General features: G+C 56.7%; 2 annotated features.

Moving 5' to 3' along the window:
- Positions 619 to 1,207: an enhancer, noted in NCBI's record as "H3K27ac-H3K4me1 hESC enhancer chr14:101962346-101962934 (GRCh37/hg19 assembly coordinates)". NCBI's record gives its function as "activates a minimal SCP1, AML or CMV promoter by ChIP-STARR-seq in primed H9 embryonic stem cells {active_cell/tissue: H9 hESC(primed)}" and the evidence as "EXISTENCE:reporter gene assay evidence [ECO:0000049][PMID:30033119]".
- Positions 11,511 to 12,491: an enhancer, noted in NCBI's record as "H3K4me1 hESC enhancer chr14:101973238-101974218 (GRCh37/hg19 assembly coordinates)". NCBI's record gives its function as "activates a minimal SCP1, AML or CMV promoter by ChIP-STARR-seq in naive H9 embryonic stem cells {active_cell/tissue: H9 hESC(naive)}" and the evidence as "EXISTENCE:reporter gene assay evidence [ECO:0000049][PMID:30033119]".

Below are 26,201 nucleotides of genomic sequence, written 5' to 3' on the forward strand. Positions count from 1 at the left end.
GTGGGGATGATTGTACAACAATGTGAGGGTACTCAATGCCACACTTAAAAATGTTACAAAGGGGCTGGGCGCAGTGACTCATGCTTGTAATTCCAGCTCTTTGAGAGGCCAAGGCGGGAGAGTTGCTTGAGCCCAGGAGTTCAAGGCTGGCCTGGGCAACACAGTGAAACTCCATCTCTACAACAAATTTAAAAATGTATCTGGGCATGGTGGTACACACCTGTAGTCTCAGCTATTTGGGAAGCTGAGGTGGGAGGATCACTTGAGCTCAGGAGGGTGAGGCTGCAGTAAGCCATGATCACACCACTGCACTCCAGCCTGGTTAACAGAGTGAAACCCTGTCTCAAAAATAAAAAAGGTTAAAATAGTAACTGTTATGTATATTTTACCACAATTGTGTGTGTGTGTGTGTGCATGTGTGTGTGTGTGTATGTTAAAGAAAAAGGTAAAAGGCAAACAAACCAACAACAACAAAAACAAACCGAAAGACAGGCCCTGGTCCATGACTCTCCAAAGTGGTTTTGCAGAAGAAGCATTCACAGTGGAACCGCCTTTCTCTTTTACCCTCTGAGCTCCATGGGCCAAAGTCACTGTGTACCTGGCCCCACTTCATCTGGCCAGAGGCCACTGTTTGTAAAGCAGCAAAGATAAATATTTTCCACCAGTTTGGTTTTTAAAGTAATTATGTGTTTTGTTCCCCAAACACTTTTTCTAATCCTACGTTGTCAACCCTCCTTAATTCAGAAAATGCACCGGGACCACTCCTCAGGTCTCCCTGCGATTCAGTCACCAGTCACAGCTCTGCTGGGACCGCACACTGTCCCCCACACATGCCGCCCTTGACTGTTGTGACAAAGAGCTTCCAAGAGCATCAGCATAACAACAGCATGCAGAGGCTGCAGGGGTGAGTGGGCACCGATTTACACATCAGACAGTGGGTGCGCCCCAAGCCTCCACGTGACTAGCCAGGGTCCTGTTGCTGGCCAGGCCTTCCCCTGTGGAGTCTGGCCCCTCCTCCATCGCGCTGGACTTGTCCCCCTGCATCTTAACCACAGCCCATCAGGCCCCAGCCCCACGACAAGTAACGCAAGCAAATAGGAGTTCAGGGTGAGCCCCAGCCCTGTCCAGCCAGGACAGGCTGGCCCGCCGGGCCTGTTTGCTCCTCCCTGCAGATGAGGTTGGGGGTGTTCATGACGGGGGAGGGCAGAACCCCCTGATAACAGAGCTCTACTGGCCCGAGATGCTTCTGCAGAGCCGGCGTGGCACCGTGGCCAGCACCCACTCCCGGCGGGGGCTTCACCGAGCCCAGCCGTCCTTCCCAGCGGGCTCCACGCTTCTGCTTGGTATGCGGCAGGGGTCCGTGACAGGGTCCAGCCGCCTTCCCAGGCCATTCGAGTCAACTCCAGAAAGGCTTTTTGTTGTCATTACCACCCTCAGCCATTAGCAGGGGCAGTTTTTGTCTTCCCAAATGGGAAAGTATCTTTTGCTTTTCTCTTTTGACACTGACTATTTGGCCTAACGCAGGGACCAATTAAACTAATTAATCCCCAGGCACTGTGCCGATGGAGAAACTAGGCTCTCACACTTCAGATCACTCCAAAGGAAGTAATCTGATTGTTGCATCATTTGGGGACCCTTTGTACAGCTCTGACCTTTGTAACCCAGACCAGAGACCCCAGTCTTCCAAGTGGCCCCTCCCCAGGACTCCGGGGCTGTGTGTCTTGCATCTCCCCATCGGCCACCTCCTACCCCCACATTCAGGGGCCATCAGACCCTCCCACCTCACACATCCTCACCTAGGATACAAGCCAGGCAGCAGCTCCAAGGGGAACCGCTTGTCACTTCCATGAACAATTAGCACTTTCTCTAAGAAGAGGAAATAAAGAACCCCAAATACAGGGGGTGGGGGGCTGAAGCTGTGCAGCTCCTCAGACTGCAGAGGGAGAGCCGTCAGCTGAAAGGAGAGTGCTCAAGGTGAAGCTCAAAGGCCCCTGGAGTCCTCTAGCAAGGGCGGCTCAGCTCCTAGCTAACGGGTGCCTCGTCAAATGCATTTTCTTCATGGACAACAACAGAATTTCTTTGGCTCCGGCAGGGAAGAGCAGCTGTCCACACTGTTTATTCAAATACCATCCTGGCAATATTCCGATTTTTTTTCTCTCTCTCGTCCCTGCAGGATCTGAAACTATCAGTGGGGCAGTTGGAAGCACGTCTCTACACATGGTTTTCCAGGGTGGTATCTTTGCAGCACGCAGAAATCCTCTTCTGAAGAGTCCTTTGCTGTATTCCCCCGTGCCTCCCCACCCCCACCCTCCCACCCCCGCTAATGGGCATGTTTCCGTGAACACTGAAGACGAAAAACATGCGATTTTGAATGTGTCTCTTTCACGGTCACACATTTCTTTTTATTGTGCATCTTGGCTGAGCCACGCTTTAAAATTCCCAGCAACCGTTCCCAAGTCAGTTTTCAAAGAGTCTTGCACCTTTGACCCAATAAAAACCAGAGAGAACTGGACGAAGACTTGTGGCATGTCTCGGAAAGCATTTTGCTAATAAAAGTTTCATTTCTTTCCCTTTGATTTCCCATTGCTGCTTGGCGCCCTGGGCTTGCTGACCGAAGGTTCGCTCCACAGCCTTGCACACACTGTACATCTTGACAGGCACCGTGATCCAAGGAGAACTTTGCACAGTGCTGTGGCCGCAAGCACTGACAATGCGTAAAGCTGTGTTTCCCTGTTACTTTCAGAGGACCTGTCATTTTCAGGCCTCGATGCACCCCCGTGGGCCTGAACACCGCCCTCCTATTAGGTCTCTCTTGTTCAGTAACTCTCAGGGGCTCCCAGGCCTTCCAAATTAAGTCCAAGGCCTTCAAGAGGGTGTTCTGGGCCCCATCAGCATGCCCAGCCTTCCTGGCCAGCCTCATCCTCCAGCCCTCCCTATGTGTCCACACACTGGTCTGAGAGGCTACTCACCATCCAGCAAAGAGCCTGCACCTTTCTGGGCCTTTCCTCGTGGGTTTCCTTCCCACCTCGGCCCTCGCACCGTCTCCATCTCAGCCTGCTCACCTCCCACTCCACCCCACACACAGGAGTCTCCTGTTGCTGTCATAACACATCACTACGAACTTGGTTGCTTAAAACAACATACATTTAAGATCTCCCAGTTCTGGAAGTGAGGAGACTGGGATGGCCTCAGTGGGCGAAAATCAGTGTGAGCTGGACTGGTGGTTTCTGGAGGTGCCAGGGCAGAGTCCATCTCCTTGCCTTCTCCAGCTCTAGAGGCGCCTGCACTCCTTGGCTCATGGCCCCTTCCTCCATCCTCACGGCACATCACTGCCACCTCTGCACATCTACGGGCGCATCTCCTGCTCTCTGTGCCCCACCCCCACCCCCCCGCCTCTCTCTTTCCCTATGAGGACCTTGGGGGCAACACTGGACCTGTCAGAGGATCCAGGATTATCTTTCCATGCAAGATCTGTGGGCCCTGGTTCAGCCGAGCACAGCACACAAGCACCTGGTGAGCACCTTCCAGCTCACACCTGTTCACCTCCACGATCCCATCTTGATTTCCCAAAGCAACTTTTCCATTACCTAGACAAAATGTTTCATTCCGTGTTATGGGTAAAACCACTGAGGCCCACACAGCAGTAAACATCAGAGCAAGACAGGGCAGGAAAGTGAAGGCTCAGGGACCCCACAAGGATGGCCAGAGGGGCTTGTCAGTCTCACCCAGGGAGGCCTCGCTCCCAGGGTCAGGCCCAGCTGCTCTGATGCAGGCGTCCTGGCCCTCAAGGCGAATGGCCACAAATGCCCGGAGCAGGTCAGCAGCTCGTTCCCAGCTCTGGATTCCCAATTCTGAACGCAGTCATTTCACAGTTAGAATGAAGTCCTCACCTCCCTCCGCAGACCTGCCTCTTTCCCAGGAGCTGCCTAGTGAGAAAAAAAAAAAAAACTGGGCTGGAGGACAGAGGAGCCAGCAGACCTGGGTTGGAGCCCAGTTCCACCCCTCTGAAGCCACGTGGCCTTGGGCTGGAGCAGGACATTTAGTGTCCAAACAGCAGCACACGCTCCCGAAGGCCATGCACACGCACACGCACACGCACACGCACACGCACACACATACACTCACACTCAAGTGGCTGGACTTCTTTGAGCCCTAGATCCCTCCTCACCATGGAGTATGAGTGGACCAGCATGTACACATTCCAGGCCCTAGACCTAAAAGGAAGGGACAGGGGTATTGCCTCCACTTCCTTTTCTCAGCGTGGCCCTGACTGGAACGCGCATGGGATGGAGGGAGATGCAGCAACCATCTTACGCCGCGAGCTCAGAGTTCCTTGTTGAGGAGAGCAGTGCAGCAGGCTAGATGGCTTCCAGGCTCCCATGGTCTTGGTGTTGCCACATCATCCTGAACTCCTCGTGTTTCTAATGTTACGTGAGAGAGAAATACACTTCCATCATGTGCGAGCCCCTAGCTGGGGGGAGTCTTTGCTCTGCAGCCAAGCGCCTTTCTTGGCTATTACAGGTTTTGCCTCAACCAAACCAAAACTCCATGATGTGGGCTCCACAGACCAGGGCTTCCGTAGTCCAGGACACAGATTTTCTGAGGGACAGTTGTCGACCCTTGTTGCACCGTGGAAATCCTTTCATAGAAACATTCCCTGTGGTGCTTAGAAGTCAGACCACATCCTGACAGCCCTGGAACTCTAGAACTGGTTTTGAAAACTCAGAATGTAGGTGTGTGTTGGCTGCCACTTGCTTCTTTTAGGAAGTGATACAGGAGAGCTACAAAGATGGCTCTGTAGGAGATAAGAGGCAGGCTCCAACGTCTAAGCGCCTCCCATACACAGCTCTTAGCCGGGCAAGGGCAGCCAGCCCAGGAGCCATCATCTGTAGAGGTGCTGCTGTCCTCCCGCCCAAGCCTGCTGGTTCAACTCGCTACCCGGGAGTTACCATTAAATGAGCGAGAAGAAGATGGGCCAAGAACAGAGGCTTGGAAATAAAAAAATTAAAAAAAGACTTTTTAAGCACAAAAATCCAGCTCTAGACAAGATCTTTAGGTGAGTCCATGTGCAACATGGAACTGACCAGGTGCAAATAGACCAGGAGCCTATGACATTTTAGAGGACATTCTATTGCCAAATAAACCAGAAGTGTGGCTTTCAAAAGCGTGGGGTTTTTTGTTCTTGTTTTTTTTTACATTTCCCCCCACTAAAAAAATCCCTGGACTCCCCAAACCCACATAAGCCAGAAATGTGTGATGGAGGTTGAGCTGCTGATGCCCGCCCAGCTGGGCACAGTCATAGCCATGGACAGTGACTGTGGCCTTGGCCCTTCCTCTCTCTTCCAGGGCCTGTTTCTGTAGCAGTCCTGCTGCTCCTGTCCCAGCATCATCTATGAAGAGGGGCTGCAGACCACTGCCTTTTATGTTCAGAGTTTGTGGCTCCCTGCTCCCAAGGCACTGCCTCAGCCAGGATGAGGGGACTGCACGTCCCCCACAGATCCTGGACTCGGAGCTGGACACAGGGGAGGGACTGCAGGGCCAACCCCATGTCAAGGAGCTGAGTGTCTTTAGAGCCCAAAGAGAGGGTCTGTGTGTATATCGGGGCAGGGGGCCCAAGGGGGTGGACACGATGTAGATTGTTAGGCATCCCCCCATATCCATCTGGCCCTTCCTTCTTTAGTAACAGGACCCATGACATTTTATGAAGGCCCAGAACCATCCATAAGGTGATGTCCCCAGCCTCCCTTGAAGCTTGAGGTGACTGTGGATGGGATGGGATCTGGAACAAACAGCCCCTTAAGGAAAGAGCCACACATCCCAAGCTCTCTTCTCCCTTTTCTGCTGGCTACACAGTGGGACTGAAGGCAGACAGAGCCTTCTTCCTTCTCGAGCTACAAGGTGGGAGGTGCACCAGGGCAGCAGTGCTGTGATCAAAGGAGCCTGAGCCCCAAACTCCAAGGAGCTGCCGCTTCAGCCCTACACGACTCATGTCGGAAGAAAGAAGAGACCCTTCCTTGTTATGCTCAGAGTCGCACTGGGATCTCTGTTACGGCGGCCAGCCCCGTGATCTAACCAATACGGCAACAGTGTCTGCTACGCGTAGGTCCCAAAGCACAGGCTGGGGAGGGAGGGGACCCTGCGTGGTTTGAGGGTTTTTTGGGTTTTGTATATCTTTAACCAGGAATAAACTGTCGTGTGATTTCTGCCACTCCTTATGTCTCCCTCGCAGAGGACAAGGCTGCAGCGTCAGTCTCCATAGCGATGCAGGAGGCGCTCTGTGAAACTGACACAGGTTTACACACGGATGAAGTTACTGCTGCTGGAGCCCGACTCCCCCAGCTCTCACCTGCTGGGTGGATGATTTGCTTTTTGGGTTCGGTTCTTTCACGAAATACTGGACAAGCTGGGATCCTCAGATAATTGATTCATCTGTGCCTCACTTTTATCATCCATAGAAATGGAGCTCACAGCCGTTGCTGCCATTTGGGGTGGTGGCTGGAATGAAACGAGGTGGTGTGGGCCAGGCACTTGGCACAGGGCCTGGCACTCAGCTGGCTACCAGCACGGCCGAGTGCTCAGGGTCCCAGGAACCCCGAGTCAGAAAGCATCTGAGATGCTGCCATCTAGAAGCACCAGGGAGAGGCCTGATGGGGGGACCCAAGCCGAGCCTGGCAGCTACGGGGGGGAATAAGAAAAGCTTATCAGGGACATGCAAAGTCCGAGGTGCCAGAGGTGCCCGAGACGAGGTGAGGTGACCAAAAGAGAGGGGCCTGGAGACAGCAGTGTGCAGCCATGGAGGCTCAGGTACCTGTGAAGACATCAACTAGAAGGAGGCATCTAGGCTTGGATGGGAAGCAGAGAGGTCTCTGGCCAAGCCCTGGAAAGCAGTGGCATTGGGAAGAGGACGAGGAGCTGGACAGATGATGGAGCAGCAGCAAGGCAGGGCTGACCACATCCAGTCCCCTATTGGGGTCTCACAGTAGGGCCACTCGGATCTCCCCATCTTCAGCACCATTCCCTCCTGGGCCACGGGCTCCAGCAGAGCAGGAACCATGTCAGAGTTGTCATTCTATCTTCCAGGGTCTCTGTTCCTTCAGTAGCCTCCCCACCTGTCTCCCTGCCATGAAACACAGAAAGCGACCTCATCACTCCTCTGCGGAGAGCCCTCCAACAGCCCTGCACTGTGCAGTAGGTGCTTAGTAAATGCCTGGTGGGTGAGGGCTTGGCATGAAGTAGGTGCACAGTCTGCATCTGATGAATGAACATAGCAGGTGCTCAATAAATCCTCAGTGCACAGGAACCTGTCATGTAGTAGGTGCATAGTCTATGTCTGACAAATGAATGTAACAGGTACTCAATACATGCTCAGCAGACGAGGGCCTGGCACGCAGTGGGTCCTTGGGTCTCGTGCTCCGAGGGAATCCAGGGGCTCCGTGGCCTAGCTTACTCCACACTCCCCCCTGGAAACCTTGGTCCCCTGGCTTCTCCTTGGCCACCTCTGCCAGGATCTGGGTGTCCTCAGGAGACCCCGAGAAGCGGGTGCCACAGAACTGGGAGGCAGTGTTCCTTTCCGTCTTCCCATCGGGCTAAGACTCAAAACAAAACTGTCAGATTTCAGAACATTTCACAGCAGCAAAAATAACTGCACTTGGGGAAAAAACATGCAGACACTTCTCAAAGTCATCTAGTCGCTTCAACAATGTGCCAAAAGCTTCTGGAATTGACAGGTTCGGTTTGCCACGCACCAACTGCGCCTACCCCTGCCAGCCTCGTCTCCCTAGGCCCCCAAGCTCCTTGTGTGCCAAAGCCCCGGCACAGAAAAGGCATCCAGGGGGATGCCCAGGAGCCACCTTTGCCCGGCCCTACTAAGTGCTGATCCAAAGCCACGCCCAGGATCCATAAGCCACAGATGCCAAACCCAAGGTGGCTGCAGCAGGGACAGGAAAGAGGAGAGTAATGTGTGGATAGGCACCTGATTACCTGCCGGGCACTCCCTGTCTGCCCCCTCATTGGATCCTCACACCACCTTACGAAGAGGGTCTGCCCACTTTATAGACAGGCACTGGGGCTCAGGGAGAGTCCTCAGGGCAGAGGCAATTTCTTTCCCGCAGAGGAATTCTGGCCGGCCTCTTGCTCTTTTCTCTCCTCCTTCCAACCCAAGTTGGCTGACCCCACACCTGCCCAGCCGAGATCATCTCTCCCTGCCACCTGGGCAGCCTGGTGCGACGGCATGGTGATATTTGTGCACCGGATATGAGCAGAAGGACAATGTCCAGTGCCCCTGTTGTGCCCTCTCCTCCTCCCGGGGGCAGCAGGAGCTGGAACAGCATCTCAGGTCCAGTGGTGGAAGTCACACTGAGAGCTGCAGAGCCACAAGAGGGAAGGAGCCTGGGTTGCTGAGGCTGGGCCACTGTGCTGGAGGCCTGGATGGCACATCCCATCACCAAGGGTTAGGGACATGAACACTCAACCTAGGTCACACACCTGGCAACAGATTCGGCACAGCTGTCTCTGTGGTTCTGTATCAGGAGCCCGAGCAGGGCAACCTTGTTGGCCCCATGGAGGAGGCTGGACTGTATCCCAGGAGGATGGGGGCTACTGGACAGGAGGGCATTGAACAGGGCAGTGATTTGGTCCGACGTGTGTCTTTCAAAGCAACTGTGGCCGCTGTACCCAAGTGGATTGAAGGGGACGGTCGGGCCTCTGAAGAGTGAGAGACAGTGGTGCTTACAGCTGGGTGATGCCAGAGATGGAGAGAAGCAGAGAGATCCCAGACATGTTCTGGATACGGACACGACAGATGCAGAGGAGCGTGAGGAAGACCCCGGGGCTGAGCCCTAACCTTGGCTTGAGCAGCTGGGGCTGAGTTGGCGCCATGGACGTGGCAGCAGAGAACGCTAGTGGAAGGGCCAGCTGGGAGAGGCAGGTCAGCGCTCAGCTCGGGCGAGCTCAGTCCAAGATGCTGGGAGGTAACCAGGGGGCGATACCGAGTAGGCAGGTGGGTTTCAGAAGATGGTGTGGGGGTCTAGGGGGAACTCTCAGGCTATAGCTGGCAGTGAATACCGAGGGAGGCAATGGAGTCAGCTGAGAGGAAGAGTGCCACAGAGGCGTGTCTGGGCGGGCCTCTCACAGCGCCCACGCTTAGAGGTTGCTAGAAAGGGAGGGGGCCTCAAAAGAGCCTGTGGGGAGCAGCCAGAGAGGGAAAGGGAGGCCACATGAGTGTGGGAGCCAGAAGTCCCGAGAACAAGCCACCTCCTGTGTCAAGGCCGGAAGAAGAGGCCGCTGCATCCTCTTCAAGAGAGGCCACACCAGATCCGCTGAGAGTGCGGCCGCGGGGGAGGAGGGAGTCGGGGCCTGGCTGCAGAGGGTCTCGCAGACGGGGGGGACTCCGTGCACATCATCCCTTGGAGAGTTTTCCCCAAGACAGAATGGGGTGTGGAGAGCTGGCAGGAGGTTGGGGTCTGGGAGGGGGCATTGAGAGAGGAGGTGCAGGGACACGTGAGCGCCAGTGGAGCCCAAGGCTGCAGGCGGCTGGGGCCAACGCAGCTGGCCTTGTACAGGGCTTGGCTGATTTTCGGCCATCCTCCACTCTAGACCACTTTTTACTTCATATTTCTCTTAGATTCAATCCTAAATACTGCCACTTTTTAAACCTTGGCCTTTTTCTAGGCAATATTCTCAGTGAAATCAGATTTGCTAGGCTATTTTTTTTTTCTAATAAACGTGAAAACAAATATGTAACTATGCAAAAGGCCCATCCACGCACCTCAACGTGGCCTTGGGACCCACCAGGCCTACCTTACTTTGGGAACTCAGGAGGGAGGAGGGCGGCCAGCTCAGTCCCTGGTGTCAGGTGGCTGGGATGGCCTCCCGGCTCCATCCCTCACAGGCAGGTTACTGAAGGTCCCCAGGCCCCAGTCACTCATCTCCCTCCACAGCAGGCTTGGAGATGGAGGACAGCAATCCACAGACAGCCCTTGGCAGAGCCGGCAGCTGGCTGGCCTTGTGAGGTCTAGGCTCAACCAGGGTCGCCACCGTTACTGTTGCCTAAGATGCGGGAGAGCCGCGACCCCGGGGGTGGCCCCCACGGACAGTCACCGGACACCTGTGCTCTGCCAGCTCCACTCTGGCCAGGGTTGTGATATATTCAGCGAGGCTCTGGAATATATTACAAACCATGAACTGCAGAGCCTCCCATGCCAAACATGAGCATAGGCAGAACCAGAGTGTGGCCAGTCTACCCACCCCTGGGGAGATCCAAGAGTCTCAGAGGATCTAGCAGGGAGAGATGCTCCAAAGTGCAGACAGGCCCCGCCCTTCCGGGGGTGGGTGAGGGCTGTGGGTAAACAGCTTGGTACAGAGGCTGCCACCGGCACCCAGGAGAGGGTTCCAGCTTCCCCCGGGGCTGGGGACACACGTTGCTCCTGGGCTCTGTCTCCAAGTGAGAGGTTATATAACCATGGCCGTTGCAGCAGCCCCGCTGGCTGGGCCCTTGCTCCTCGCACGAGGGCTAGAAACAACCCTCCTGCCCCCTTTTCACCATTTTCTAATTTGGTCCTCTCTGAGCTACCAGGATCTGCAAATAAAACGTCACACTCCTTTTCTAAAGTGGCTTCCCGATTATCTCCTTTTACAGGTAGGAAACTGAGACAGAGAGAATCCCATGACCAAATTGTGGAGTAGGACCAAACTTTAAAGGACAATGAGTCCAATCTTCTCCCCATTTGACAGATGTGGAAACTGAGGCCCAGCAGGGCAGAGAACTAGATGCCATCACCCGGCAAGAAGAGGCCATGGCCTGTGTGGCTGCCAGAGGCTCAGGAAACTGTTCTCCTGGGACCTTGCTGTCCAGGCAATACCCCACTGCCATGCCACAGGGGCTGCTGGAGACCTCACTTCCCTCCCTCCTCTGTAAAGCGCCCCGCTCCTTGCACGGCAGACTGGCTGGGTGGTGGCTAACCGGGCAGAGCAGGAACCAGCTGAGCTCAGGTCAGAGGGCAGAGCTGGACTGGCCAGGCAATGTGTGTGATTCTACACTGGCTGAGCACTTCGCAAAGGGCACTGGATTCCAACTGACCGCAGGAGAGCCCAGGCCGGCCCCTCCTCCTCTACTCAGCACCAGGACCCAGCCAAGCCAGTGACCCAGAGGGGCTGGTCTTGTGCACAGATAAGAAGAGCCTGCGATTCGCAGGCTGGTCACCTGCCCCGGGACAAATTAGGCCCACAGGGCAAAGGTGAGCCCCTGCCCAGCCCTGCTCAAACGACTTCAAGTTCCAAACTCATCAGGTCCAAAGAGCAGACCCAAACATGCTTCTCTAAAAATGTGTTGAGAAAGAAGATTCTCTGTTCACACTGGCCCTCTGCCTGCTTCCACTTTGGGGTTCTGGGCAGACTTTTAGAAGCAAACTTCTCACCAATTACCAAGAGCAAAACAACTCCCAGAAGATCTGAGCCAGTGCCAGGCAGAGCAAGGAACAAACCCCTTTTGCAAAGAGTTTCCGCTCGGTCTCTGGAAATCCCAGGAGATGCCCCTCACATTGGCACCAGCTGCATCCACAGCCGACCAAGTCCCTCTCCACCCTGCCCCCGCCCACCCCAGCCCCTCGGCTGTCAGCAGCCAGCACCAGCTCCCCACGGACATGCAGGTCCAGCACCCCGCACTGAGCAGGCAGGGCAGCCACCCTGGGATGCAGTCGCCCCCCATCCCTCACAGTCACTGCAACTCTTGGGATTCTGGGCACCAGGGCCAGGGCTCCGCCCCACGCCATGCAAGGACGGCATGTATTCTGGGACACGGTCTTGGAGGAAGCCAGAGACTGACAAGGAGAGGAAGGCTCCAGAAGGCGAATCTTTCCTCATCTCCCATCACGCTGTTGCTGATCAATTAAAAGGAAGAACAGGAGGAACGCACTTCAGACGCGCTCTGCTTGTGGCTACGGCCAGGGAAGTGGGCCTCGCCGTGTCCCAGAATGATCCCAATACACTCAGAACGGGGCCTTTCTGGAGCAGATTGGAAAATCCCCCGGAGCGGGTGGGGGCCTTGCCAGCTGCTTGGGAAAATGTCTTTTCAAAGCTTAAGGCCGTCCTCTCCTCATTTCCCTCCCATTCAGGCTGTGAGCTGCGCAGCCCCGTGCCGCGGGAGGGAGGCAGGAGCCTCAGAGAGGAATCCAGCCTGTGCCCCTCACCTTTGCTCAAGGAGGCTCCACCCAGAGCTGGAGACAGTCCTGGCCAGAGACAGTGGCAATCTTGCAGGATAACAGAGGGCCGAGCACTGTGCTACAGGGACCAGAGGAGAGGTGCAAGATCCAGGAAGGCTTCCTGGAGGAGGTGGCTCCTAAGTGAGTAGGAGTAAGTCAGAAAATAAATGAGGGAAGGAAATCCCAGAGGGCAGGAGAAGAGGTGCAAAGGTCAACAGTGTGAGCAGAAGTGACTTGTGAGCAGGGCTGCGACACAGCATGTGTGGCAGTGAAGACAGAGTAGGCCGGCCCTAGCAGAGAGATGGCTGTAGGAAGAGTGGACAGGCAAACTTGGGGTGGGGCATCTGTGCCAGAGTGTGGGCTTTACCTGGAGAGCAGCGGGAGCCTTGGAGGGCTTCAAGTAGGAGGTGACACAGCCAGGGTTCATGTCTTGGAAAGGTTACTCTGGTAGCCACAGAGCACAGGGCAGAGTGGAGAGAGACAAGCCATGGGGGGGAGCCGGGAACATCCTTTCTGATTCACAGCTGAATATTCCCCACCCTCTCCACCTGGCCCCTTCACCAGCCTCACAGTCCCTGTGCTATGATTTTCCAACCTCTGAGCCTTCACATATGCTGTTCCTTCTGCCTTTCCTTGCTCTCTGACTGTAGGACAAATGCTCAGGGGTAGGCAGGATGGCCTCCTGGTTCACCTCCCTGTCCACCCCTCTTCTGGCAGCAGCCTGGCCATGCCCAGGTGTGACAACTCTCTGGTCGGGAGTCGAACTTCGACCTCCCTGCCAGGCTGGGAGCCCAAGAAGAGCAGGAATGTGCCTCTTCCCCCTGAATCCTGAGCCCTCAGGCAGAGTGAGGCATACGGGGAGTGGGGTCTCAAGAAAAGCTTGAAATGTTGGATGAAAGGGTGTCCCGGGAGGCCTGCATCTGAGGTCACTGTGAATCCACATGGCCTTGCCTCTAGCTCGCACCCAAACAGACCAGCCCATGGGGACGAGTTCAATTTGCCCATCCTGGGCAGGATGACAGAGACTGGCTGAGTTTCTATTAAACCATCTCCCTTTTCCCTATAGCCCAAAGCACCCTATGGCTGAGTGCCACCTGGTGCAATGCGCTCACCCCTTCAGCCTGACCCCTAACAATGACCCATAGGTCTGCTCTCACTCTCCCCCGCCTACCAGGGTGATGGAGACACCCAGTGGGGGCTCCAGGGCCCTAGGGGTGGTGGAGTGGAATTCCGTGGGAGCCACCCAGCGTCCCCATCTGGGAAAAGAATGTCCTCCCCCACCTCTGGGTGAGCTGAGTGGCAGCTCTCTGCTGCTGGCCCTCTCCAGAAGGTGACTCGGTTGAAGAGGGCTCCCTCACCCAAACCATGCCCCTTCCCAGCGGGGGCCAAAGCCAGTATCTGCCAGCAGGGGGGTCTCAAGGGCCCAGCCCTCCACCTTGGCCTGGGTCACTCTGGGTAGCCTTCCCAGCTGTAGAGCTCCCTGTGGGGTCATCTGAGGATCCCATAGAAACAGCACCATGGCCCGCCTTCACTCTCCCTCTGCCTGGCCCTGCCATGGGAATTGATGGCAGGTGGCCGTCAAGCCCATCACCACTTCGGAGTCTGCTTCCCGGGAAGCCCGGCCTGCGACGCATGGTGCCAGGAGTGGTCTAAGCATACAGCCATGGAAATGGGACTGGGGAGTTGATCACCCACCCCCTAGCTGGCTATGACCCCTATTGCTGGGTCCAGGTGGAGCACAGGAAGCTCTGGTGGGAGGAAGACCTGCAGTCACGGAAATGCTCACCAGGGCAGACGGGGCTGGTGTTTGGTGAAGGGGAGTGGGGGTGGTGAGATGCAGCCGGCATCTGGGGATACTTGGGGATCCGGGGAAACCGCAGCTGTAGGGAGAGGGGAATGGGATGTGGCTGTTGCACAGCTCAGTCAATGCTTGACTGGACGTGATTAACCAGCAAGGAGAGGCCACGTGTGGGGAAAGCCACCAGGCCCCCTTGGCAGGCCGCTGATCACAGGACTTAATCATACCAAAGGCCGAGTTTCCGCCCCAGGCAGTTCTGCTCTGCCAAGGTCAAGACCATGGTTGAGAACCATTAAGTCCCTGACACATGGGACAGTGACTTCTGAGTTGATGCAAATTCCCAGAATCCCCTGCACTCCTGGAGCCTACAAAAGTCGCCCACTTGTCCCTGCGAAGGGCAAACGTCACTGCTTGCAGAATTCTCCTCACTACAGGACAGCAGGCACCCCCTCAACACTCCCCTCCACCGACCCTCCTGGCCTGGAGGTCAGGGCGCAGCATAGCTCCTCCAGGATCACGGTGGAAAGGGGAGGGGACCGGACTGCAGAGGATTTGACACTTGGCCAGCACAGGACTGGATTCTGAGGTGCTGGCCACGGGAGTGGGACATAAAGTTGGATGAGGGAGTTTCTCGCTCTGGGAGCACTTTCCTAGGGTGTGGGATAGAACACCCTGGCGAGCAGCATGGGGGATGGTACAGACACACTGGCAGAATGGCACCGAGAAGCACGGAGAAAGTGGCAGCCCACACTAAGGGAGGTGTCGATGCCAGAATTGCTGTGGCAGATGGTGGGAGGATTGAGCAAAAGGTTCAGAGATGTGGGCGTGTTATCACGGGTACAACGCAGAAGGCCGAAACGTCCGCCGGACAGCTACTTTCCATGGGAGGACCTGGAAGATGCACCATTTACCAAAGTACCCAGGAAGGAACCAGCACCCCTGAGAAGCTCAGCAGCGGCTGTCCTGTATAAGCTGGGACTCACTGGGGAGATACCCTTTCAGCCAGGCTCACTGGCAGCAAAGAAGCTAAGAGGGTCCTGAAACAAGAGAGGGAAGAGGGCTGCGCTTCACCACTGAAGCCAGGGGAAACAACGACTGTAATGAGCAGCAAGGTCAGACTGGCAGCCGGGGGGCCATGCAAACAGTTAATCTAGCCAATAGAACATGGGCAAAATGGGTGGGCAGCCAATGAGAGTCAGGCACAGTCTGCACCATGAAAAGAAATCAAGAATGGGCCATCAGGATACTGAAGACAGTGGCCCCAATTAAAGGTCACAATTCTTGGCCCAATTTCTGATCCTGAGACAGTTTTTAGACCAGGATCCATTGACTGAAGGTGCAGCCAGTCCCCAGGAGGAAGGACCCTGGACCACCACACGTGTACGTGGTAGTAGCTCCCCGGATCTTCCCCGTATGAATCTAAGGCGACTTATCTGAGTATCTTTACACTGGGGAAGGGAGAATGCCCAACCATTTGGAGACTGTGGACACGGAGTTTAAAGTGACTCTGACACCAGAGACTGAATGATCCTGTTAGAATGAGGCCTGTGAAGCCTACATAATAAGTTGGGTCCTGACCCAGGTGGGGTCCCCATGAGTCCCTTGGGTCTGTGGACCTACCCAGTAGTTACTTCCCTGCTTCTTACAACCCTCACCTTGGCCTTGTCTGAAACTATCTTCCCCCACCTGGGTCAAGAGAGTAAACTAAAAATAACATCACTAACAGGGGAATGGCACAAATGAACATCATCTTTAAAGACCTAAAGGATGCAAGGGTGGTAGTCCCAGCATATCTCCATTTAATTTTCTGGCCTGGCTCCAGAAAAATCTGAGGGATCTTGAACAATGGCAGTAGATTAATACAAACTCAACAATGTAGTTGCCCCAACTGCAGTTTCTGTGCCAGATGCAATTTGTTAGCAGATTCATATGGCTTTGGGTGCATGGTATAGGGCCATTGCATTCTTTTTGAAAGAGGCTAGAAGACAATTTGCATTGACCTGGAATGGACAATAGTATACATTTACAGTCTTGTGATGGGGCTGTGTTCTTGCTCCCATCTCTGCCATGTTATAGATAAAGGTAACCCATAGGTAAGCCATGGAGGTGAGCAGAGTGCAAGCTGAGGCTGAAGGGAACTTAGACAGTAGAGAAGGAAGATAATGAAGGTCACTTGCAGCCCTAAGGCCAGCTGCAGCAGAAGGGCTAGAGTTTGTCCATTTACCTTCCTCTTCTGTGTTCCTGTTAGGAAGAGAGGCCACCAGAATCCTGAAGAAGTGGTCCCAGAAGGCATGTGAAGAGGTGATTCTGAGCAGTCAGGGCCAGCCTGTCGTGAATGCTGGTAGCTAGAAGGGCTAGTGCTGCCAGTCCACCACCCTCAGCTCTCAGGCCTCTGGGACTGAGTTGGCTGAAGAAAGCTGCACATGGCCATGCCTTCTCGGGGGGCAGCCCACATCCAGTGACTGGTCAGTGTGACAGCATAAAGGCCACCCCCTTCGGCCATACTTAGAACCATTCTGAAGGGCTGTCCCAGCTCCCGAGACCCCCATGGGGTTGCGGAGGCCTTGGTGAGACTTCATTGCAGCTCAGCCTCCCCCTCTGCAACATCTGCTTCCTTCCTTTCCTTCCTGGCCCAGAAAAGCCACTGCCAGCCCCTCACAGACCCGTCGGGTAAGACGGCACCAGCCTCATGGTTCTCATCACCCCCCACCCCGGCCCAGGTCCACCCCATGCCCCACAACCCCCTAGCGGCTGGATTTTCTCCCCCTGACTCACTGAGGTGTAAAGTGAACTGCCTGAGCCGAGCTGGGCAGCTCCTTGGCCAATTTCAGTGGCGTGTGCTGCATAAACATTCCCGCCACTAATGAAGGCCTCTGAAGAGGCCTGCTCCCGGGGGACCCCCGGCTTCCTGCTCCTCGGGTGTGGTGTGGGAACAGGAACATCTCTCGGGCGTCCTCATTGGGGGGCAGCTGGAGTCCACGGCAGCGGAGCAGGCCGTGGCTGAGCAGGCCAGGCAGTGGGGGCAGGCCAGGAGGAGAGCCATCCCAGGCCTCAGGAGTGCCAAGCCCACCGCATCCGCTCAGCCTGGCCACGCTGAGCAGCTGCCGTCCACCAGGCCCTGCGATGGGTGCAGGAGTTACAGGTGAGGAAGCCCAGGCTCAGGCCAGGGACCACCCAAGGTTACAGAGTGGGGAAATAAAGGACCTGAGACTGGAACCCGGGCCTGGCTGCTGATGGTGTTCCCTCCCCTGCAGCTCAGTGTGGCCGACAGGCCCCAGGTGGAGGACGGGACCTTCTCCACACACCTTCCCGATGCCCAGGGAAACCTGGTCTTAGGCGTCTGGGGCACTGCTAGCTGTGTGTGTGCCAGCATGTGTGATGCTGGTAATGCAGATCCCACACCTGGGGGTCCTGCCTGGATTATCCTTCCAAGCCCATCTGGGATACTGGAGTCCCTGCCTCCAGGAAGAAGCACGAGAGTCCACGAGCTTTAAAGGAAGCAAGGGATGCTCACCTCTGCCCACAGCTGTTGCTCTGCTGGTAAAAGGCTGTGACCTGAGTTTCCGTCCTCTGCCTTGGTCACCCCACAGGGCAGATGGTGTTGGGACCTCAGCTGTGCCATACTCCTCCTGGGTGATTGCAAGTAAGGGACTCTGCCTCTGTGGGGCTCAGTTCTCACCCAGGAGAGCCACCAGGGCTGCAAGGCACTCAGGTACCTACAAACACCTGCTGGTCAGGCGTTTGCACGTTAGACTCCTCATCTCTTAGACGGCCCCCATGTGGCCCGAATCTTCTTCCAAACTGCGCCACCTTTGCTGAGAGTTGGATGGGATGCACCTGGGAAGGCATCTGGATTCATCACATGGAGCAGGGGACCCTTTCAATCAGAGACCACTTCCAGAAAGGTGCGGAAGCAGCCACTGAGTGCTCTCCCGCTACCCGCCCCCGTGGGAATCTGGCTTTAAGCCTGGATCACAGTGAGGAGGGCCTTTGATCTTGTCTGGGGCCAGAATGGACTAGAACGTCCACATGCAGGGGACCCACAGCAACCCTGCAGGATGCGCCTCTCCCGGGATCTCATTCTCCCCAGTGAAAGCCTCTGAGGTGCTTGGGGCCTCAGAATGCAAGAGGGGCCTGGGAAGTTGGAGGGGATTAGGATTTGGGGCCTTGAATACCAGTCTGTGGAGTCTGCGCTTCTCATCGCCACCCCACCCTGGGTCAGCCTGCAGGAGCAGGCACCACAACGCCAGCCCTGCAAAGAGAGCACCCACTGAGCTGTAGGCCGTGTGGGGCCCCCAAACCCAGTCCCAGAGGTGAAGGACAAAGTAAGGTGAGGTCAAGCATGTCCCATGCTGCTGCTGTCTCCCTAGAGGGCCACCTATCGCCCTGAGATGGGCTCCAACCCTTTTTGCATCCAAATACTGTTCCTTTGTGGAGTGACGGTACCAGTCAAGGGTAGCTGGCATTTTGTTTTTGTTTTCAATGCTCTTAACTTGGCAAAATACGAACTTGGCACCCTACGACAGGAACTAAAGTTGATTTTTGAAATTTTAATTGTTTGCGAAATCCACGGGCCTGGGACTTCGTCTGAATCATCTCATTTTGTTCCTACAACAGAACCCACAGGATGGGGCACAGGGTGCCCACATTGCAAGTGAGGAGATGATGGGAGGGAAGGGCCTGCCAAGGTCTCACACCATGGGGGACGGGGGTGCGGCTGGAGCTCCCCTCCCTCCCTGACTCGGCCCCACCCCACTGCTCCCTCCTGTCCTAGGACCAGCCCCCACCCTCCTCAGATGGAGGCCTCTCTGGTCCCATGCGGCCAGCAGCAGATGGAAGGACAGACATCCTGGCATTGGCCTCCAATGTGGATCAGCCTGCCCTGACTGAGGGCTCCCCTGCACCTCCCTTAGCATGTGGCTGCCACAGTGAGACCCTCAGCCCCATTCCTGTCTCCCCTGGCAGGTTGGAAAGCCAGCCCCCAGAACAGGCACTGCGCAGACTCAGCGCTCCTGGCCCTGCCAGCCCACGGGCCCCCTCCATGTCCAGGCTCCAGCCCACAGACACGGAGGCTTGGCCTGGGGTAGTGAGCCCTGGGTCCTGGGCTGCCCTACCTGGGCTATAGGCAGCCCCACTAACCTGAAATGGCCTGGACAGACTAAAGGGTCTAACTGCAGTTACTCAATGAGAATGAGGACAAGTTGTTTGCTGTGGCTATGTGCCAAGGGCTCCAACTGAGGTCTTGCCTCTCCTCGAGAGACATCTGGGAAGGGAGAAAGCGTGTCTGCACCAGGCCCCTCAGGGGCAGCCCCATCCTCACCACTCCATGCTCTTCAGGGCAAGGGCGAGCTCACACTGGCCAACCTGCTCCCTCCAAGCTTTTCCAGTAAACACCAGACTCCACAGACTGGTATTCAAGACCCCAAATGCTACCCCCCTCCAACTTCCCAGGCCCCTCTTGCATTCTGAGGCCCAGCCAGATGCCACCATCCCCTTCACTCATGCTGTCCCCTGTGACCGGAGTGCCCCGCCTCCCCTCCCCCTCACTTACTGGGTCTGTTCACCCCGCCCGGTCCCAGAGTCAGCCCAGCAGCACTCCCACCTCCCTGGTGCCTCTCTGGTGCCCCCTCTGGAAGGTCTCTTCAAGCTCTGAATCATGGTGGCACCTTCTCAGAGGCTCCATGTTTTCCTCTGTAAAGCAGGCACGGCAGTAGTGCCTAGCTTGGAAGGCTGTTGTGCGGGCCAAATAGGCAAGACAGTAGATGTCAATCTCAGTGACTCATGCTTATTAGCTGCTCAGTAAATGGGGGGTTGATTGGGAACATGATCACTGCTCGTCCCCCTTGGCTGTGGGAGGTGCTCCCTTCTCCACCCACTCCGCAAGTGCTGGCCTTTCCTGGAGCTCTCTCTGTATCCACTGGCCTTCTTCCTCTGCCACTCTCCCTGAGCAATCTCACCCTTTTCATGGCCTTAGCCACCATCCATGTCTGTCCTCAGCAGCCTCTCTCCTGGGCTCTACAGTGGCGTGTCCAGCTGCATTCAGACACGTTCACCTGGATGACCCTTAAGGGCCTCGAGTCAGCATTTCCAACACAGACACGCTATCCATCCCTTCTGACCTGGCAGTCTCTGCTAGTTAGGTGCTACAATATTGTTTCCAACACCACTCTTGATACCAAATCCTGTATTCTTTAGGAATGCCTTTGGCTACAAATAACAGAAGTCTCAGTGAATAACGAGTGGCTTCAGCAGAGTGGTTTGTTTTTCTGGCATAACAAGGAGCCTGTGGGTCGGTGCTTGCTGGCATGGGTCTCCCGACCTGAGGCCGGGCCCTATTGGCTTCTTCTGGCCTTAGCTTCATTGTTTCAAGATGGCTGCCCCCGCTCCAAACATTCAAACAGTGTTCAAAGGCAGGAAGTAGGAAGAGGGGCGGGAAGGGCACTCCTCTTCACATAGCTTCTGTCTTGAGGGAAGACAAGTCTTCCCTAGAAGCCCCCAGTGAATGTCCCCATAGATCTCATCAGCCATAACTGGCTTACATGGCCACTCCTAGCTGCAAGGGAGTCTAGGAAGGCAGCATCCACAGTGGTGATCCGCACTGCCCTGTCACTCTTGCCAGAGACCTGTACCCTCCCCAGCCCCACCTGAACAGCCAGCACCCCCACTGCACTCTGCCTTCGCCCCCTCCTCAGCATCACTGATGCAGAGTTCCCCCCCCGCCACCCTTTTCTGACACACTCTGGGTCCCCTTCAGCTCTCTCCTGGCCCCCAGTCCACCTGCTCCAGTCCATGAAACAAGAAAAGTGATATTTTTCAAATCCAAACCTTTCCACAACCTCTGGCTTCTCTGGGAAAAGTTCAAGCTCCTTCATCTGTCTTCCAAGTCCTCCTGAATGGGCCCTGCTTATCCTTCCACCCTCACCTCCCACCATTCACCAATAACACCCAGACTTAGTATAGATCCCCCTTAAGCCAACCCTAGTCAGGGAATGGAGTGCTTGTGGTTTTGGTGGGCAGGGACCCCAGGAAGGGAGCAGGAAAGTTAGCCGGGCAGGAAGGAGCTAAGAAGAGCGTGCTGAAAAGCACCTCACCAGGTGGGGAACCCAAGCTGATCCCCGGTGCAGAACGCTCATGAGGGGCAAGGGAGCTGAGTACTTACTCTCCTCTCTCAAAGATCACTGGCCGACGGCTGCTTCTTGAGGGGCAGGGTGGGAGTGAATTCTCTGGTTCCTGTGACTTTCCAGACTGACTGCTCCCTCGGGCAAAGGGTGCAGACTCTTGCAGCAGGAGCGTGGGAGAGCTGGCCAGCCCACACCCCATGTGAGGCCAAAGGAGCACAACGGGCATGGGACAGCAGGTTCCCTCCCAGGGTACCCACCTCCTCCAGCATCCCCATGCTGCTGTTTGAGGCCCCACACCCCATCCAGTCTCTACCTGCCCCGCCAGGATGTTCCCCTCCCCGTCGGCCCCACCCACCTTCAACCCAGCCCAACCGAGCCTCACTCCTTCTCTGGGACCGAGAACTCACTTCTTCCCCCGGTGGAACCCCATTCCTGCCCAACCGCAGCCCAGTCCTGCCTTGAGCCCTGGGTCAGTCTTCAACCCCTGCCCCTGCTGCGGCTCTGGGCCTAGGGACTTTCCCCAGCTCCCTGGAAGGGGAAACAGAAGAAGGGAGGGAAATGGAGACCAGAAAACACTGCCCCTCCCAGGTGCTGGCTCCAGCAGGCAGAAGAGCAGAGACTTGAGGGTCACCCACTCCACTGCTGGGAGTTGGGGAGGGGAACTGGAGACTGTGGCACTGAGGAGGGGGAGGACAACTTGGCCAGGACAGACAGAAAGCCCAGCACCTCACTGCAGCGTAGGAGACGGCTGACCCAACAAGGAAGGAGCAAGGTCTCTGGAGCCACCAAGGCTGGGCTCAAACCCCTTCACCTTGCTGGGTCTCAGCCTCCTCGTTAGAATGGGTACAATCACCCCACATCATAGGCTGGCTGTGAGGAAGGCACAAACTCAGAAGGCCCAGGCAATGGCCAGCAAGCCAGGCTCAGCCCAGACCTTGGAGGGCCAAGAGACAGGCTGCCCCAGCCTTCCTGACACAGGTCCCCAAACAGGCTGGCCCACCCTGGCTGCATGCCTTGCTTCCAAATTGGAGCTCCCGTTCAGTGTGCAAGGCCAGGTCCAAATGTTGTCTGACTGGGGCTCCAGGCAGAAAGGGTTGCTTCCTGCTCAGGCCTCCTCTCTTCAGTTGTCCCGGGGGGTGCCGGGGTCCATATCCTCACCAGTCCACCCCCAAGACTGGCAGCTCCACCAGGCAAGCCTGCATCCCCACTCTCCCCCTGGGGCCCAGCACAGAGAGTGCTTTCTCTGCCAGTGTTCCAGCGGGGTCGGGTCCTCGGGCTCAGCAGCCCAGCCCACGTGTGAGTTCCGTCTCAGGGCTTCTCCTGCACAGACAGCCCCACCCCAACCCCAAAGGGCAGGACAGGGCTGAGGGCGTCCCAGATTCTGGGAGTTCAGGGACCACGGGCCCAGGGATCTGTCCCCTCGTGGGCCAGGGCTTCCAGGTGTGTCCTTTGGGCACATTCCAAGCCTGCTTCCCCAGATTCCCTCGGAATCCAAGCGACGGGAAGACCCTGAGAGGCCACCTGAAGGTGGGAAGGTGGAGGCACCAAGAGGGCAGGGAAGTGTCAGACGAGGCACGAAGAGGCCACACTCGGGCTGGAAGCTTCTCCCTCCAGCCCAGGAGCTCCCTCCTTCCCGCCTTCTCAGCCGGTGCCCTCGCTGAAGCAGAACCAGCCTTTCAAAGCTTCCTGGGCTGCAGGAAGGAGCCTGGGGCCTGGGGCCAAGGCCTGCAGCCATTCTCCTTCATTGAGCCTCAGTTTCTCCTTCAGGAAGTGGCCATCGGGGGCTCCTGGGAGACCTCCAAGCTTTAGCAGTACACACTGGGAGGGAGGTCGGTTAGAAAGGGCATGTGTGGCCTGGGGTGCCCTATGATGGAGAGGAGACCCTTCCCCAACTCTGTGTGTCCCAGGCCCATCTAACTGGCCCGTGGCCTCTGGGTGACGGAAGGCCAGTGGGGACAGGCGCAAGCACAGTGCAATGGAAGCAAGTTCCCAGGCCTCCTCCCCACTCCGAGGCCTCTTCCCCTGTGCCCATCCCTATCCCCTGGGGTTCAAGGGCTGATGGGGAAGGTGACTGAGGGCTGGAGAAGCTGCAAAGCCCAACCTCTTCTGACCTCTGCAGCCGGGTGGCGCCCGCGTATGGGCACGGGAAGGCCGCCAGTCTCACCAGCTGTGCCCTGGGGTGTGGGCCGCTGTACACCCGGCCCATGAGGCGGTCCGTGGGAGCAGCTACTTGGGCAGAGGTGGGGCTGGGAAAGCCCCAGGCTGTAGGCTGGGTTGGTGACAGGCGGCCCAGTGCCCAGGCCGAGGACAGGACACTGTGTTTTGATTATTTCCAGTTTCCTGACCCCCAAGTAGTGATTTAATGTTCCTGTTTACTCCGACGGTTAGAACAGGAGGCGGGACCACTAAGCCGGCCTCCCCTGGCGTCACCCCCAAGACTGCCAGTAGGAGTTTTGTGGCCAGAGGGAGCAGAGGATCCCAGGGGGTAGGCACGAGGCCTCTGCGTACATCAGGAACTCTTGCGATTGACTCAAAACTGAGCTTTGCATACAGCAGGTCCCGGGGAAGCATTGCAGATTGCAGGGTATGGCTGCCCACAGGAAGTGAGGCTGGGTGACCCGCCCCAGCAGGCCCGAGGGGCTCCCCCACTGTGGGGATCCAGGGCCACAGAGCTCTCCTGGCCTGGTTAAGGATGGCTTCACCCTGGACCTCCCTGACATTATCCAGGGCTTGGACTTCAGCCGGGCCCATCTCCCCCATGGCATCTGAGTGTCTGGAAGGCGCTGCTAGGCAGGCAGGGCCAGCAGCCCGTGGCTGGCTGGGAGGGACTCCAGAAGTCACAAGCCCAGCCCCTAGCTTCTGAAATCTTGGCACATGGGGCCGGCTCTGAAAACCACTGGAAATACAGTTTTTCATGGCATCCTCTGAGCATGCATCTACATACAGCAAGCAAAGGGTGTTCATGCGGGAAATGATGACCCATGGGTTTTTTTTTTAAACCAACATGAGTTTGTATCATTTGTTAGCAGAATATTAAAATGTCAATAGGTTTCAGCATAGGCATGTCCTACCCCACAAGGTCTATGCCTTTATTCAGAAAGCATCCACCTAGCAGGCACTGGGACCACGCAGACCCGTAAGAGGAAGGAGGGCGGCGAGGGAGGCGCGGAGGAAGGGCCTGGCTGGGAAAGCCCCTCTTGGAGAACCCCTGAGGGAGCTGCAAGGTGAGCACCCCAACCTCTGCCTTCAGCCCTGCCAGGTAGTGGGGCCAGAACAATCGCCGGCCCAGGCAGAAGTGAGGGGGCGAGGACGGTGCCTGCGTCTAGTGCTGCCACGACTCCCTCTTCCCCTCTGTCCACTACCGGGGTGACAGCGAGGTCATGGAAGGCAGATGTGGGGAGCCAAGAATCCCAACAGCATCGGGTCCCCTTGAGGATGACAGGGACCAACTTTTCTTTGCCATTTCCAGTCTTCAGTTGGCCTTGGACAGAGCCCAAGATCTCATGAGGAAGGAGCAGAGAGGCCTTTTGGTGTTGCTGCAAACATCATGGGGCCCAGAAAAAGACGTCACTGAGATCCTGGGACGGCAGCACTGGAAGGGCCTAGGACATCACAACCCCACCCTGCTCCATCTTGACCTCAGTTTCCCCATCACTGGAACCAAACATGAGCTCAGGCTCATGTCCCCGCAAGTCCCCAGTCACCCACCGTAACTGAGTGGGATGGAGACGGAGGGGTTCGTTTTGGGGGGCACCTTGAGAGGCCAGACATGACCAGGCCCTTCACGTACAGCGGGGCTGTTCCCCAACCTCCCACCTGGGACAGAGGCTGGTGGTGATGCCCCAGTTTGGCCTTCTTCACACCAGGAGTCACACAGATCTGGTGTCCAGCCCCTGCCCCATCACTTACAGCTGTGCGGCTTTGTGTAAGCACCTTGACCTCTCTGAGCCCGAGGCCACTGATGCGTGGAATGGGAATAAGTCATCACTAAGTGGACTTCAGAGTCTGCAGCGGCGCCCTAGATCACAGCGGCTCTGAGAAGGACTCAGAAACTGTGAAGGACGTGCACCTGGGAGGAATCCCAGCTACCAGGGCCGGGCTCGCCTTCCCTGAGCACGCAGTGATGTGAGGCGGGGGCTGGGGGTGCAGACCCAGCCTGGAAGCCCAGTCCTGCCGTTCGTTCGTCAGGTGTCTGCTCCTCTGAGTGCTCAGGGTGGGGCTAGAATGATACTGGAGACCAGCGCCAGGCCTGTGCCCCGCACACAGCAGGCGCTCGGGAAGTGCTCAACCAGAGCAGGCGCACGAGCAGAGCGGGCTTCAAGAAGCAGCCCAAACGCTACGCCCTGGAAACCTCCAGGCCCAAGAGGTCAGACCTGCAGAACCCAGGGAACCACGCAGCCCTAGCCGCAGCCCCACCTCAGGGTGACCCCTGGGCTGCCATTATGCCTGGAAACACTTGGACGGGTACCTAGCGGGGAGCTGTGGAGCTGTTTGTGGAAAGAAGTGAAACAATGGAAGCCAGCTCATTCTGAGCTGAGTCCCTTCTTCCAGAGTGGTGATTTAGAAGGAAAAAAACATTGCCCAAATCACAGCGGCAAAATCCTGCAATTGCCAGAGAAACAGAGGTCGGTGGCCAAGAAGGATTGCAACACAATGGCCTGGGAAGACGTTCACTCGTGCCAAGCCCTGAAGGACCGAAGCTCAGGGCACCTTCCTGGCTGCCTGGCCTGGCCCCGGGGCCTGGAACCTGGACCCCTCACCCTGGATGTTCAAGTTCTACCCCCAGGGATGGACAGCGTGCGACTAGGGTGGCCACAGGACTCCACAGTGTGCAAAGGGGTGCCCCGGGAGACTCCCGGAGCCTTTGAGCGTGGGGGTGGGGATGAGGACATCTAGAATCAGGAGGTGGGGGAGGGGCTCGGACAGGTTTCAGGGATGGCTAGGGAGCCAGCTGTCTGCCTCCACATTGGCACCAGCGGTCCAGAGCTGTGGGCAGGAAGCCTGGAGGAACTGAGAGGGGCGGGGGGCCCTGTTAGGAGACACGGGAGAAGGGAGGGAGCCGGGCATTGCATTCCTGGAAAGGGG

The sequence above is a fragment of the Homo sapiens genome, chromosome 14 (genome assembly GCF_000001405.40).
Source record: "Homo sapiens chromosome 14, GRCh38.p14 Primary Assembly".
NCBI classification, from domain to species: Eukaryota; Metazoa; Chordata; class Mammalia; order Primates; family Hominidae; genus Homo; species Homo sapiens.